The 15,277-nt window shown below is 47.1% G+C and overlaps 1 protein-coding gene across 7 annotated transcripts in view, besides 4 other annotated features; it reads left to right on the plus strand.

Moving 5' to 3' along the window:
- PNPLA1 (patatin like domain 1, omega-hydroxyceramide transacylase) overlaps positions 1-14,335 on the plus strand; it is a 70,788-nt gene extending 56,453 nt beyond the window's left edge. For 3 of the 7 annotated variants that reach the window (XM_011514520.3, NM_001374623.1, XM_017010779.2), the window contains 4 exons: positions 2,241-2,849; positions 6,672-6,756; positions 7,967-8,092; positions 12,143-14,335. In XM_011514520.3, coding sequence (XP_011512822.1) covers positions 2,241-2,849; positions 6,672-6,756; positions 7,967-8,092; positions 12,143-12,266 — 944 coding nt within the window. In that variant the 3' untranslated portion in view covers positions 12,267-14,335. Of the gene's footprint in view, positions 1-2,240; positions 2,850-6,671; positions 6,757-7,966; positions 8,976-12,142 lie in introns of those variants that run through there. The other 4 variants (NM_001145716.2, NM_173676.2, NM_001145717.1 and 1 more) reach the window with 2 other exon arrangements.
- Positions 2,520-3,020: an enhancer, noted in NCBI's record as "H3K4me1 hESC enhancer chr6:36269917-36270417 (GRCh37/hg19 assembly coordinates)". NCBI's record gives its function as "activates a minimal SCP1, AML or CMV promoter by ChIP-STARR-seq in naive and primed H9 embryonic stem cells {active_cell/tissue: H9 hESC(naive and primed)}" and the evidence as "EXISTENCE:reporter gene assay evidence [ECO:0000049][PMID:30033119]".
- Positions 2,889-2,938: a silencer, noted in NCBI's record as "silent region_17112". NCBI's record gives its function as "represses an Ori minimal core promoter by ATAC-STARR-seq in GM12878 lymphoblastoid cells {active_cell/tissue: GM12878}" and the evidence as "EXISTENCE:reporter gene assay evidence [ECO:0000049][PMID:35858748]".
- Positions 13,109-13,288: an enhancer, noted in NCBI's record as "active region_24422". NCBI's record gives its function as "activates an Ori minimal core promoter by ATAC-STARR-seq in GM12878 lymphoblastoid cells {active_cell/tissue: GM12878}" and the evidence as "EXISTENCE:reporter gene assay evidence [ECO:0000049][PMID:35858748]".
- Positions 13,479-13,588: an enhancer, noted in NCBI's record as "active region_24423". NCBI's record gives its function as "activates an Ori minimal core promoter by ATAC-STARR-seq in GM12878 lymphoblastoid cells {active_cell/tissue: GM12878}" and the evidence as "EXISTENCE:reporter gene assay evidence [ECO:0000049][PMID:35858748]".

Consider the following 15,277-nt stretch of genomic DNA (forward strand, 5'->3'; position numbering starts at 1 on the left):
ACTGCGCCCGGCCAACTTTTGGTATTTTTAATTAATGCTCAGAATTTTTCATTTTAGCCCTTCTAACAGGTGCATGTCGGTAACTTATTGTGGTTTTAATCAGTATTCCTCTAATGACTAATGACTTTGAGCATCTTTTCATTTGTCTATTTGCCTCCCATAGATCTTCTTTGGTGAAGCATTCGTTCCACTCTTTTGTACATTTCTCACCTAGACTCTTAATAAGCTTTGTTTTTTTAGGGTAGTTTTAGATTTATGGATAACTTGTGAAAATAATACAGGGTGTTTGTCTCACATCTGTTAGACGTTACAGAATGATACATATATAACACGGTATTCAGTCCAGTACATTTGTTACAACTCATGAACCAATCTTGACATATTATTAACTAAGAGCCATTGCTTATTCAGATTTTCTCAGTTTTTACCTAATTTCTTTTTCTGTTCCAGGACCCCCCACCCAGGGATCACATTACATTTTGTTGTCACGTCTCCTCAGTTTCCTCTTGCCTATAACAGTTTCTCAGACTTTTCTTATTCTTGTGTGTGTGTGTGTGTGAGAGAGAGAGAGAGAGAGAGAGAGAGAGAGAGAGAGACAGAGTCTTGCTGTGTCACCCAGGCTGGAGTGCAGTGGTGCAATCTTGGCTCACTGCAAGCTCCACCTCCCGGGTTCATGCCATTCTCCTGCCTCAGCCTCCCGAGTAGCTGGGGCTACAGGTGCATGCCACTACCCCCGGCTAATTTTTTGTATTTTTAGTAGAGATGGGGTTTCACCGTGTTAGCCAGGATGGTCTCAATCTCCTGACCTCATAATCCGCCCGCCTCGGCCTCCCAAAGTGCTGGGATTACAGAGACTTTTCTTATTCTTGATGACCTTGACAGAGTTGACTATCGGTCAGGTATTTTGTAGAACGTCCCTCAGTTGGGGTTTGTCTGATGTTTTTCTCAAGATTAAGCTGGGGTTTTGAGTTCTGGGGAGGAGACCACAGAGGTAAGGTGCTATTCACATCACGTTACCTCATGGGCACGTGCTGCCAACATGACGTATCCCTGCTGATGTTGACCATGACCGCCTGGCCGAGGTAGTGTCCATCGGGTTTCTCCATTGTGAAGTACTCTTTCTCCCTCTATCCTTACTGCAGTTTTTGGAAGAAAGTCACTGTGCACAGCTCATATTTAAGGAGTGAGAAGTTATGCTCCACTTCCTAAAGGGTCAAGCATCTACATAAATTACTAAGAATTCTTCTGCAGGGGAGCTTTCTCTCTTCTCCCTGATTTACTTACCTACGTAATATATGTTTATATCAGTATGGATTCATGGTTATGTTATACTTTGGGTTATTATTCAATACTACTTTATTGTGTTCTTCAAATTGTTCCAGCTTTGGCCATTGGGAGCCCTTTCAGTTGGCTCTTTCACACATTTTAAAAACTGAATTGTTTGTTTTCTTATTTAAGGGCTGTTATGTGGCCTAGATAAACGCCATCCCCCCGCCCCCCCACCCACCCACTATTTTTGAGACAGGTTCTCACTCTGTCACCCAAGCTGGAGCGTAGTGGCACGATCATGGCTCACTGAAGCTTCAGCTTCCCAGGCTCAGGCAACCCTTTCACCTTTCTCAATGAGTCTTACAGCCACAGTGACCTTCTCAGAACCAGCCTCAGCTGATTACCTCCCCTGCCTAAAAGTCATGCTACAATAATGCTTGCCATGAAAACTAAGGATCCTAGCTGCTGCCTACAGCCCTGACATGGTCCGGCCCCTGCCGCCTCCTCAGCCTCCTCCCCCAGCACAGTACCCCCGCCCCACACTGACCTTTCAGGCCCCCGACCACCTGGTGTGTCCTCAAACTTTGTGGCCTTTGTGTGTGCTGTTCCCTCTGCTGAAACACCCTCACCACCCCGCCCTGACCATCCTGGGCCACGTACCCTTCAGATCTCTACTCACTGCCAATCCCTCAGATGACCTGCCCTCTCTCACAGCACCACATTCCTCTCTTCCTGCACTTGCCTCAGTTGAAACTCTAGATAATTTGGGTGGGCAACGCCTGCTTCCCCACACTACACCGTAAGTGCCAGAAACCATCACGTTTGTTTTCACTCACTGTAAATTCAAGTAAGTACAGAAAGACCTTTGAAAAGCACTGTTCCTGTTTAGGAAAATAACTCAAGAAACCATTTTTGCAAAGGCCATGCTGCTGCCAGGGCTGAGTAACACCCCATGCTATTGTTTATCCTAGATGCTGTTTATCTTAATTCTTCCTCCAAGAGAGTGATTTTCCCCCGGGTGGAAGTGTACTGCCAGATAGAACTCGCCCTTGGCAATGAGTGCCCTGAACGCAGTCAACCAAGCCTTCGAGCACGGCAGGCCAGTCTGGAAGGAGCCACACAACCTCACAAGGAGTGGGTTCCCAAAGGGGATGGAAGGGGCAGCCATGGTCCGCCTGTGTCCCAACCTGTGCAGACACTTGAATTCACATGCGAGTCACCTGTTTCAGCACCAGTCTCTCCACTTGAGCAGCCACCTGCACAGCCACTGGCCTCTTCAACTCCACTTTCTCTAAGTGGCATGCCACCTGTATCATTCCCAGCTGTGCACAAGCCACCCAGCTCCACACCTGGTTCATCACTGCCCACCCCACCACCTGGACTGTCACCTCTGTCACCTCAGCAGCAGGTACAACCGTCTGGATCACCAGCCAGATCCCTACACTCTCAGGCACCCACTTCACCCAGGCCATCCCTGGGGCCTTCAACTGTGGGGGCACCTCAAACACTGCCCCGAAGTTCTCTTTCAGCCTTCCCTGCTCAGCCACCTGTGGAGGAACTAGGCCAAGAACAGCCCCAAGGTATGGACCCTTCTGGCTTGTTATGACTTTCTCATGCCTGGAGCCCCTTGGCAAGCGAGCAAGGACACCAGGGCTGATAACCGCTTCTTTAGGGGTGCGTGGCTGAAGTTAGCAGTGAGCTTTAGCATCTCTGTCCATTATGAGGACAGTCCGCCACAAGGGGGCAGTGTAATAGACATTGGTTCATTTCCCTTGGTGCAGTGCTTCTCAAAGTGCGATCCCCCTACCGGCAGCAAAAGCATCACCTGGGAACTTGCTAGAAATTACAGTTCTCAGGTCCTACTGCAGACCTACTAAATTACCAACTTTGGAGGTGCGGCCCAGCTGCCTTTTTTACAAGCCCTCCAGGTGATTTTTTGCCTGCTCACATTTGAGACCGCTGGGCCAGTAGATTTTTACTGTGAAACCTGCTGTGCTGGGCGTGCTACTCAAAGAGTGGTCCGCAGACCAACCCAGCCCTCAACTGTGTGTTACTAGCCCACCACGGAGGGTGTGCAGAAATTAAGAGTAATCATTTAGAAACGTTTATAGCACTAAGGTATTTCCACAACATCCCGGAGCTTGACCATTTTTTACTAATTCATTTGCATTGTATTTCACAAAATTACTAGTTTGTTATAGACTACAAAGAAATTTTTTTTTTTAGATGGAATCTCGCTCTGTCGCCCAGGCTAGAGTGCAGTGGCGTGATCTTGGCTCACTGCCAGTTCTGCCTCCCGGGTTCACGCCATTCTTCTGCCTCAGCCTCCCGAGTAGCTGGGACTACAGATGCCCGCCACCACGCCTGGCTAATTTTTTGTATTTTTAGTAAAGACAGGTTTCACTGTGTTAGCCAGGATGGTCTCAATCTCCTGACTTTGTGATCTGCCCGCCTTGGCCTCCCAAAGTGCTGGGACTACAGGCGTGAGCCACCGCGCCCAGCCAGAAATTTTTAAAAAACTGTTTCCTTACTACTACAGACGGTTTCAGAAGCACCACTATAGGGCCTGCAAAGATAAAACGTTCTCAATTCCTTACTCAGGAAATCTCCCTTTCAGCAGAGGAGATAACAGGGATACTAACCTCAAAAATACAATCAGGGACTGGGTGTGGTCACTCACACCTGTAATTCCAGCACTTTGGGAGGCCAAAGCGGGTGGATCACCTGAGGTCAGGAGTTCAAGACCAGCCTGACCAACATGGTGAAACCCCATCTCTACTAAATACAAAAAAATCAGCCAAACTTGGTGGTGCATGCCTGTAATCCCAGCTACTTGGGAGGCTGAGGCAGGATAATCGCTTGAACCCAGGAGGTGGAGGTTGCAGGGAGCCAAGATTGTGCCATTGCACTCCAGCCTGGGCAACAAGAGTGAAACTCCATTTAAAAAATATATATATATCAGAAGTATTAAGTACTATATAACTAATAAAAACACAGTGTTGGAGGGTATTCGTAGAGAATAAGACCACTTATCTCTGGGGCAGTATGAAAAGCTTCTTGGAGGTGACAGGTGAGCTTAAATGGGCAGGATTTTGAACATCGTGGTTTGTGGGATTGGATGGGTTGGAGTAGAAAGAGCATTTCCGATTTTGTTTATTTAAAATGCTCAGGTGCAGTGCAGGAATGTGCAGGGTACTTTCAAGGTACTTTAGGAAGGAGAGGACTTGTGTGTGGCCACCATGGATGGTCTGGGTGGAGACAGAGGGACAGAGACCCAAATGAAGGACTGAAGCCAGATTGTAGGGTGCTCATGGTCCTCAGCCAAACTTCCAGAGCTATTATGGTAAACGTCACAGATCGGCAATGTCTCCTCATCTGGGAATTAGCCCCAACTTGGTAGAGATGCCCTTTCTTTGGAACAGGTTTACTTTGACTCTTTTAATGAGACAAAAACAAAACACCATTAAGAAAATTAGGCTGTGACTCATGCCTTTGAGAGGCAGAGGCAGGCAAGTCACTTTCAGTCAGGAGTTCGAGACCAGCCTAGCCAACGTGGTGAAACCCCATCTCTACTAAAAATACAAAAAATTAGCCGGGCATGGTGGCAAGTACCTGCAGTCCCAGCTACTCAAGAGGCTGAGGCAGGAGGATCACTTGAACCTGGGAGGCGGAGGTTGCAGTGAGTAGAGATCGTGCCACTGCACTCCAGCCTGGGCGACAGAGTGAGACTCCGTCTCAGGAAAAAAAAAAAAAAAAAAAAAAGTCAGAAAATTGGGCGCAGTGTTTTACCTGCTCTCTTATTTCCTGTTAAATACAAAACACTTGTTTTACATTAACCACACCTGTGCATGAAGGCGGCCATCTTCAGGTACCTGAGCAATCCTGCACCCCAAGTCGGCATTCCTCACTCATATCGGGGGTGGATAGAGGGCATATATAGTCTAGTGATTCTCTACTGGGAGTGATTTTGTCTCCAGGAGACATTTAGCAATGTCTGCAGACATTTTGGTTGTCACCTAGTGGTTACAGGCTGGGGACACTGAAAAATATCCTGTAGTGCACAGAAGTCTCTGCACAAAGTGCTTTCTGACCGTTAGTGTCAATAGCATGTACTGAGATTGAGAAGCCATGTTATAGCTTACAGCTGAGCCTCAATGGTGACATCCTAGGCCATCTATGTGAGTTAGGCAGAGCTGAGACCCCCTAGAGCAAGTTTATCCAACCCGCGGCCCAGATGGTTCTGAATGCACCAGTCTATAAAAAATTCATTAACTTTCTTAAAACATTGTGAGATTTTTTTTGGATTTTTTTTCAGCTCATCAGCTATCATTACTGTTAGTGTATTTTATGTGTGGCCCAAGACAATTCTTCTTCCAGTGTGGCCCAAGGAAGCCAAAAGATTGGACACCCCTGCCCTAGAGTTTAGTGGTATCAGTCATTTAATGATGGCCATTGGTGGCATTGGGGAACAGGAAAATTGTTAAAAGCCCTAGGAATATCCAAAAACAAAAGGACAAGCCTCATTGTGAATAGATTTGGGAGAGTTAGGGACATACAACAAGTCTCTAACAAAATAACTTCAGAAGAACCCACATATACTTTATATTACCTTTATTTATATATAATACATAATTACATATTAACCTTCATGTATTATGTATCCCCATACTCATTAAAAACATGTAAAGAGCTTACTTAAGAGTAATGGCCATGAAACTATTAATACTCTGTTCTAAGAAACAAACAAAAAGCATTACATGAAGCATGTGATGGAAAGTCCAGGCCCCTTCAGGGGATTTTCCTGAAAACCTTCCCTAACATGCTGCTTTCTGCGAGGGAGCTATTTCTTTTCTTTTCCTTATTTTTCTTTACTTTTCTCTTTTTTTTTTTTTTTTTTTTTTGGTGGTGGAGGAGGAGACAGTATCTCACTCCCGGCTCACTGCACTCTCAACTTTTGAGGCTCAGGTGATTCTCTTACCTCAGCCTCCCGAGTAGCTGAGATCACAGGCATGCACTACAACACCCAGCTAAATTTTTGTATTTTTAGTAGAGACAGGGTTTCACCATGTTGGCCAGACTGGTCTCAAATTCCTGGCCTCAAGTGATCTGCCCGCCTTGGCCTCCCAAAGCGCCGGGATTACAGGCATGAGCCACCGGGCCTGCCCCTGGGAGTTGTTTCTAATGTTCCACCAAGGGTCCGAGTCAGCCGCTCCACAGATGCCGCGGGCCTGCGTCTCAGTCAAGTCCCACGACATGACTCTGGTTGTAAAGATGAGAATTTGAGGACAAGAGAGTTCTTTGCTGTTTTTAAACATTCTCATTTACTGACTATTGCTATTTCAAAAATGACTCCATATCCCCCCTCCCCATCTCACTCCCGTTTCCTATATCTTTACTTTTAGCTGTAGCTCTTCTTGTCTCTTCAAAACCAAAAAGCGCCGTGCCTCTGGTTCATGTGAAGGAAACCGTCAGCAAGCCTTATGTAACGTAAGTTTCCCCTTCGTGGAGCACGCTCTTTCCTTTGGACGGAAGAAGCAAGCCCGGCTAAGCGATATCTTCCACCACCTTAGCTGCCCCAGGAACTCTGGGATCCTTTTCTGGTGTGTGTGATTGTGTGATTCCAGGTCCACCCCTTTACATCTCACAAAGCTGCCTTCTCTTGTTCAGTTAGGGCAGTGTGTGGGGAAGGAGCCTGTCCGTGGTGATGATGTCATTCTCTTCTCCTGCACACTGGGGATGCTCCTTCTCTGAGTGCAGTGCAAGAATGTGCATCCCCTGCCCTCATATTTTACTCTCTGGTGATGCCACAGTTCCAAGAGGGCCTGCAGGCATCCTACCTCCCAGCCTTAGGTAGCTCCTGCATGAAATGAATTAAGGGTCTCTATCAAAGGCCTTCCTTACTCCGAACTATTTTCTATTAGCATGATAATGACCTGATAGTACTAGACTGTAGACTGTCCCCAGAAAATCTTTTTTATTATGCACATCAAGTGTCTGGGTTGCATAACATACACTCCATTATATCTTTGCAATAACTATGAGAGGACCTGGGGATCTGCTTTTTTAAAAACTTCCCTGAGGACCACATTACCCAGGCTCCCTTGCTGGCTGAATGCCGTTTGTACTGGTGGTGGGGGAGGCACAGCAGGAGATCAGAAGTTGGGTCAAGGGTATTTCTCCCCACAACCCCAGCCCCCCTCTCATCCCTCCCTGCCTTGGGACCACTCTGGCAGTAGCTGGGTTTCTCCATGACCACAGCTGCAGGTATTGAGAGAGCAGGGCCTGAGGCATTCCTGCTTTTAATGTTTGCACTCTCTCTCACATCAAGCATATTAAAATTTACCTGCTTCCCACATTAAGTATAATTTTAACCATAAAACTTTTTGAAAGAGTTTGTATAAATTTAACAATTTTGAGCTTAGGCATAAGTTATGCATTTTGTTCACATAATTTAAACTTTTTTGCATTTACATATAACTCTATAAAAGTCGGAGTTTCATTTGACTCATGGGCATGATGTTACTTAGATAAATATTCATTGATTATATTTTAAAAAAAGTTTGCTGGGAAATCCAATCCTCAGCCAGGGTTGAGAACCACAGCGCGGGTGTGTCCACCTGCGGAGCTGAGCAGGCCACCATGTTGGAGGACCGAGGTCAGGCCCATAATGAACCATCTACTTAATCTCTTTGCCTAGGGAGAGCCCTGCTGAAGACTCAAACTGGGTGAATAAGGTCTTCAAGAAGAACAAGCAAAAGACAAGTGGCACCAGAAAAGGCTTCCCAAGACATTCGGGATCCAAAAAACCAAGCAGCAAAGTGCAGTGAGCATGTCTAATGTTCCTTAAATCCCACGGAGAGGAGCAGCTTTGGGAACTGTGTTCAGAGAGATTCCGAGGAATAGAGGAGAGTGTAAGGGAGTAGGGGGTGCAGTGGGAGATTGGGCTTTGGAACAGACACATCCGACATAAAATTCCTGCTCTGCCACAGCTCCACTCAGGGATCATGGTTGGGACACTTGCTCTCCCTGAGCCTCCATTTCCTGTAAAATGGGGATGATACCACTTCATAAAGTTGTGAGAGTTAAATGTGATCGATGATGTAAATTGCTTCATAGAATGCAGAATGTGTAATAGCTCACAATAAGTAGGTATTATGTTTACATATTATGTTTGTATTTATGCTACTTAAATACAAAACTGGACAGGCCAGGCATGGTGGCTCATGCCTGTAATCCCAGCACTTTGGGAGGCTGAGGTAGGTGGAAAACCTGAGGTCAGGAGTTCAAGAACAGCCTGACCAACATGGTGAAACTCCATCTCTACTAAAAATACAAAAATTAACCAGGCTTGATGGTGTGCACCTGTAATCTCAGCTACTCGGGAGGCTGAGGCAAGAGAATCGCTTGAACCCAGGAGGCAGAGGTTGCAGTGCACCAAGACTGCGCCATTGCACTCCAGCCCGGGCAACAAGAGCGAAACCCCATCTCGAAAAAAAACAAAACAAAACTAGACAAGTGAGTGCCTACGTGACACTCAAATGTTGCCAGCATACAGTTAAGGGCCCTAGTCAATGTAGGCCTGCTTCTTATAGCTTTTTGACTATATTATGCTGTCTTTGACTTAGTCAGTCAACACTTATTGAGCACCTACTAAGTGCCAAACACTCTCCTGGACTCTGGCAAAATAAAAAATGAATTAAAACTCTATCCCCAAGTTTCAACAGTTTACTCCTAGTCTAACTTTAGATCAAAGATAAGACTAAAACCTAAGAATCTGATGAACTTTGAGTCCCACCTAAACCAAGTTTTAATTTTTTTACCGAGTCATCATATTTTAAGTAAAGCCCCATGCATGTATACAAACAGACTCGCAAATTCAAAATGAGAGCCTCAGATTCAAACCAAGTCGGGTATTATTTACAGTTATTTCATTGGGTTATCAAAGTATTTTCTGAATTGGCCAGGCATGTTGACATGTGCCGGTAGTCCCAGCTATTCGGGAGGCTGAGGCAGGAGGATTGCTTGAGCCCAGGAGTTGGAGTCTGGGCTGGGCAACATAGTATTCTCTGAATGGAACAGACCTGCACTGCTATATAATTTGCTTCAAGTCTTTGTTGGTCAGAAAAACCTCTAATCATTCTGAGCAACATCCTTCCTGGTTGTTCTTGTCCCAAGTGGGGTCCCTGGATGGGCACAGGGATTTATCAGACAGACAAGGGTCAGAGGCTCACCCGGCGGCCAAAGGCTCATCTCGAAGTCTAAGCAATGCACTTGATGAGTGGTGGGAAGCAGTATGGTAGCGGAGATTCTGAGAGCTGCTGCAGGAAGTGGAGCAAACCACATGTTCTTTCTGGATGACAGGTAGGTAAGGGAGGGTGCAGGACGGCAGCTCGAGGTCCCTGGGTTCATGGGATCAACAATCCCAGCCTGGGATTCTTCTCACTCATTCTTGATCTCCAGCCCCAACACTTCCCTGACCTTTGAGTGTCCTTATCTCTGTCTCTAGGAGCTCATGGTCACGTTCGGCCTTGGGAAGCCACGGATCTGCGGTGGGTGTGGGGAGCCTCCCTGGGACTAGGAGCACTATCTGGAAGCCAAGCCCAGGCTCCAGTTCCTTGATTCCAGGGCCAGCTCTCTTCCCACTGCAGCAGAGAAGCGGGAACTGTGCAATTCAGCAAGAGCCACTTTGGTTAACAAACCTTCTGGGAATGAAGGTGCTTTACAAAGAAGCAGGCTGTGATAAAAACAAACAAGACAACATTCATAAACTGTGGGAAGCATTGTTGTCATTGGGTCACACCTCCTGCACCAGGCAGGTGGTTGTCTGCTGCGTTCCTTTACAGAACAGATGCTGAGCCTGCCTGGAGGTGGCAATTTACCAATCGATGGTCTTAAGCAATTCCAAAGGCTGGGGTAAGGGGTAGAAAAGAGAAGCTCAAAAATGTTAGGGATGGAGAAGGGGGGAGTGATTCAGGAAGAGGAGAAACCTGTTCATTTCCTCCCAAATTACAACCACTGTCACATCCATGGCTAGTCCTGTGCAAACTTCCAGTCCCCAGCTGATATCCCTGCAGACAAGTAGAGAGAGGCTAGAACAAAAGCTAAAGTGTAGATGTCCCATACACTAATCAGTGTTGTTTTTTAATCAGAGGTTGAAATTCATACTCTGATGCAAACTGTATTAGTCAGTTGTTGCTGCTATGATAACACTGCATAACAAACAACCCCCCAAATCTCAGTGGATTACAAGGACAAACATTTGTGTTTCTCTTTCATGGGCCTATGTGTTGGCTGGGATAGCTCTATTTAGGCTGCAGGCTGGGTTAAGTCTGCTCCAGGACCCTTTCATTCTAGGAACGGCAGTGATGCCAGACTTGCTCTTCTCCTGGAGCTTGGGTGGGTGTACGCATCAGCCTAGCTTTCCTCTGCTAGCCTTGGCTCTCCTCCAGTAAGGGTTCCGTGGTCATCCGACTCTGGATTGTGTCACTGGCCTCAAAATGAAGAGACAGAGTGAGAAATTGAGAGGCTGCCTACAGGCTACAAATGGAGAAGGAGGACTCCATCCTGCCCCCAAATCCTCCAAATTCCTACCAAGTCTGTGAGATGCCCCAAGTTTCCACCATAAAAGATCCTTTTCTTTGAGTTTCTATGGAATTTCCCCCATTCCGATGTGAATGTAATAATATAGCTACAACTTACATAGTACTTACGTGCCCAGCACCATGGCACAGAGAGGTTAAGTAACATGCCCGAAGCTACACAGTTGGTAGGTGGCAGAGCCAGGATCCCAATTCAGGTTATCTGTCACCAGTGTCTTGATGTTCCAACTTAGTGATACAGCCTACGAGGGTGGTGGGAGCACTGGGGTGGGAGTCAGAAGTCACAGGGGTTAGCACTGGTTTCTCTATTCTGGCAAGTTACTTTACTTAGTGGGAGTTTCAGTTTCTCTCTATAACATTCACCCTGCCTTCAACCCATGGTTATTTGGGACTTAACTGAGAAGCTGAATGTGGAAGCATCCTGTGTAATTCTGGTTAACAAGACATGTCAGAACCTTATGACCAGTGCCCAGGCCTGTGTGGGACATTTGGGAGGGTCCCGGGGCAGTGTGTAGGACTGGGGCACCAAGAGAAAGGAGCAGAGAGAGGGTATCTGAATGCATGGTTCTGCCTAGGAGCTTTTAGGAATGCAGATTCTTGGGCTCACCCTGCACCTACTGAATCGGAAATGGGGCTGGGGCCCAGCGGTGTGTATTTCACATAGTCCACCAGATGACTGATGCACGCTGGAGTTTGAGAACCACTGGATTACTATGGAATAGAAGCACAGAGGAGAGGCAGCTAATTCACTCTGTTAGCTTGGGGATCTCAGGGAACCTGGTGGAGGTGTGGAAGATGAGCAGAAGTTAGTCAGACTGAGGATAAGGGTGTGGGAGGGTATTCCAGGCACACGGGATGGCCCAGAACAAGGAAATAGTCTATGCAAGCAGTTAACTGCAGTTGCAAGGATGGAGGTAGCGGAGAGGCCTGGAAGTGAACTTGGAGATGTGGTGGAAGGTAGGTCAGGCTGCCTTGGATGACCGGCTAATGAGGCTGGACTTCCCGTGTGGTGCTGCAGAGTCATTGCAGGGTCTAAGCAACAGAATGATAGATTTGAAAATTACGGAGATTTTAAAATTATCCAAGAATGTACAAGTCCACATCCCAGCATTTCTCTGGGCTCGGCAAGTGTCTTCCTCCAATTTCCTAGAGAGGGCAAGTAACTTGCCCCAAGTGACACAGGAGGTGGAGGCAAGTCTTGGAAGTGAGGTCTTCTGATTCTCCCTTTTGTCTCCCTTCTTTTCACCTGTTCTTCCTCGGCTTCTCCTATCCAGGTCTGCTCCCTGCCCACTCAACTTCCCTCTGCTCTCCACTTCTGAGACAGTTTGGGTCACCTACAGACCTCATCCCAGCCGGATCCAGGAATGCTGCCCTGAAGTGTGGAATTCCTTAGGATGACCTTGGAAGGCAGATACTGCCTGTCCTGTTCTGGGATGCTGTGGTGACTCCTGGGTCTCATTGATCCAGCTCCTTTTATTCTCCCACCTTCCCTTCCTGGTCATAGTCAAGGTCAACACTAGCCCAGGCAGTACCTTTTATACTAAGAAAATAGCACCTCTTCCTGGAGAACCTGACTACCAGCCGCTGGAAAATTGTCATAATATGCTGATTTTGTTAGAGCAAGACACTTGACTGACAACTGCTAGAAAACTACAAAGAACATGCACAGACATGCATAAGTCTGCGAATCGCCTACCCCTTTTATATGGCACTGTACCCTTGTATAGTGTAAAATCTGCACAACTGTACTCAGCCATCCGGAGACCACTTCAGCCCCATCCCCTTCCTAAAAAAACAAGTATCAGTTGAACTTTCATACATGGAATGATGTTTCAAACACCCTTTTATCACCTCCCACTGGAGATTACATTTGCAAGCAGCAAAAGACCCCTGTGTAATGAAATGAACCCCCTAACTGGCTTTTGGTGTAGCTTGAGATTTCCAATTTCCATGCATTGGCTATAACAGGCCTGGCTACCTGCTGAGGGTTGCCCAAGGTGTATGAACCTGTAAGGGTGATCCCCGGTGGAACTAAGGTTAGGGAAGTCCTAGATGGGGGATTTCCTAGGAAGCTGTGAGCCGAGAGAGAGAACGGGAGCTGGAACGGGAGAGAACCTGAGGACCCTGAGGCCAAGCCTGCTTCTCACTGCTGTCCGGCACACTCCCCTGACTCTGGGCCCTTTTGAGGACCAGGGGCAACACCTATTCCCAGCCCCGATGGTGCACAAGATCTGTTTCCCTTCCAGGGTGAGCATCTCAGCTTCCTGCGATCCTTTCAACCCTTCCACTACCCTACTCTGGACAGACTGATGGATGCCAGCACTGATCGGCACTCATGGACCTTCCTCTCAACCTTGGCCTGAGCTTGCTTCTTTGAGATGAGCCAGATCATTTCTAGTCTCCCCAGGATCCTGTCCAAGGGCAAAACTCTTGGGGGCCCAGCAGGACTGAGCCAACGACACGCTTCCTCTTTCTTGTGGTGGCAGGAGCCCAAGTTCTGGTTGTTTGGTTTTTAATTCTTACAGTGTACTAACGGCTTGGCCTGAGCTGGTCACTGGAATCGCTGGCTGAATTTGGTCAGGCAGCCCAGGCATTGAGATCTTTAGAGCTCCCCCGGGATTATGTGGTGCTGTGGTGTTGAGACAGGCTGCCCTGGAGTCCTGGGTGGCTGTAGAGGAAGAAGGAGGCCAAATGTCCCTCCCCTGCAGCCAACACAAATGAGGGCTCTCTGTCTGCTGTTCACACCTCAGTGAAAATGTTCCGTGAGGAGGACAACTTCAGCCTCAATTTTTCCAGCCTGTCCAGAAAATAATTGCCCCCCTCCTCCCCAGAGAGCAGACAACCTCCAGGTCCCGCCAGGCCCAGCAAGGAAGCCCCAGCTGCCCACAGGCCTCAGGTACATTTGCTTACCAAATCCTGAAATGCAAAACCCAGAATGAATGGGTGGAGGACCATACTAAACTGCCCTTTGGAGCCTGAGGAGACCATATGCAAATTTAAGCCTGGTGGGGCTGGGGATTTAGAGGGTTGGGGCTTGGCTGCGGCAACAGACCCCACTTAACACAGCCATTCCAGGGAACAAAATGTACTTTTGAGACCCTGAAAATGGTCAAAGTCCCAGGGGTCTTGCATCCTCTGCCTACTCTGGTTGATCTGTGGCCACACCAGTCAAAGGAAGCAGCTGGAGGTGTGTACTGTGGGGGAGACTGACTAGAGAGGCCCGCCCGGCCGCAGGCCTTTCTTCCAGGAGTGGCCTCCATGTTTGCAGAAGCCTGAGGCCTGGGAAACTAGGGGGAGGAGAGTGTCCTCTCTTGCACAGCCCAGGAATGCTTGTTCCCTGGGACCCAAGGAAGACTCGAACTTAATCATAATTATTGTTTTAATTCAAAGTCTGTATTTAGAGCCCAGATGCTCTTAATGTCAATTATGTTAAACTATTAATACATCCTCTTGCATACTTCCCTTCACTTGGTTTAATTATTTTTCTTGTTTTGAGGTAATTAAAATAATTGTTCTTACATTAGTTTCAGAGTTGCCAGATAAAATAGAGGACATTTTGTTAAATTTGAATTTCAGATAAACAATGAATAATTATTTAGTAGGAGTACGTCCTCAATATTGCAATTATTTGTAATTTTCTGAAATTCAAATTTAACTGGGTCTCCTGTATTTTTATGTGCTAAATCTGGCAACCCAAATTAGCTTCTGTCTCCTTTTTCTCTTTTTTTTTTTCTGATCAACATGAACGAATTGTTACATGTCAGCCACTGTGCTTTGAAACTGGGAGGCCTCACTTGTGCCCGGGGCAACACCAGAATGCTGTCTTTTCTTCCAGGCAGCACCTCTGACTGATACCCACAGCACAACCCCGCTGTAACCCAGCTAACACCTCCAGCTCAACCAGTTCTCAGCTGACCCCATTATCTCTGACTCACCCACTTAGGCTTCTGACTTCTCAGAGGGAGGGAATTAGGTTAATTATGTTGTAATGTTACTTGCCCACCTTTTTAAAGCCATGCAAAGCAGCAGGACCTCTATGCACCCCAGTGCTCTTGTAAAAACCATCTGTGTTGCTCTACATACTTGCCAGCACTTGGGGGAAAAAGACCAAAAACATCTATGGTGGGAGTTGAGGGGCCCCACCCCTCCACAGCACCCTCACAGGGTGCCCTATATTCATATTGGCACAAAAGCCCCATAACCAGTGGGGCCTGTGAGCATCCTGTGGGCAGGGGTTTTGTCTTTTGCATTTGTGCATTCCACACAGTTAGCATCAGAGCTGGTACATAGTAAGTGCTCAATAAACATTGGTTGAATAAATGAACTACTGGATTAGATCATAACTGGAGGGAAGGGCACTAAAATAGGAGTTATCAGAGCCTGCTCCTGGCTGGGTTCTGTCTGTATCT

This window comes from Homo sapiens, chromosome 6, assembly GCF_000001405.40.
Source record: "Homo sapiens chromosome 6, GRCh38.p14 Primary Assembly".
NCBI classification, from domain to species: Eukaryota; Metazoa; Chordata; class Mammalia; order Primates; family Hominidae; genus Homo; species Homo sapiens.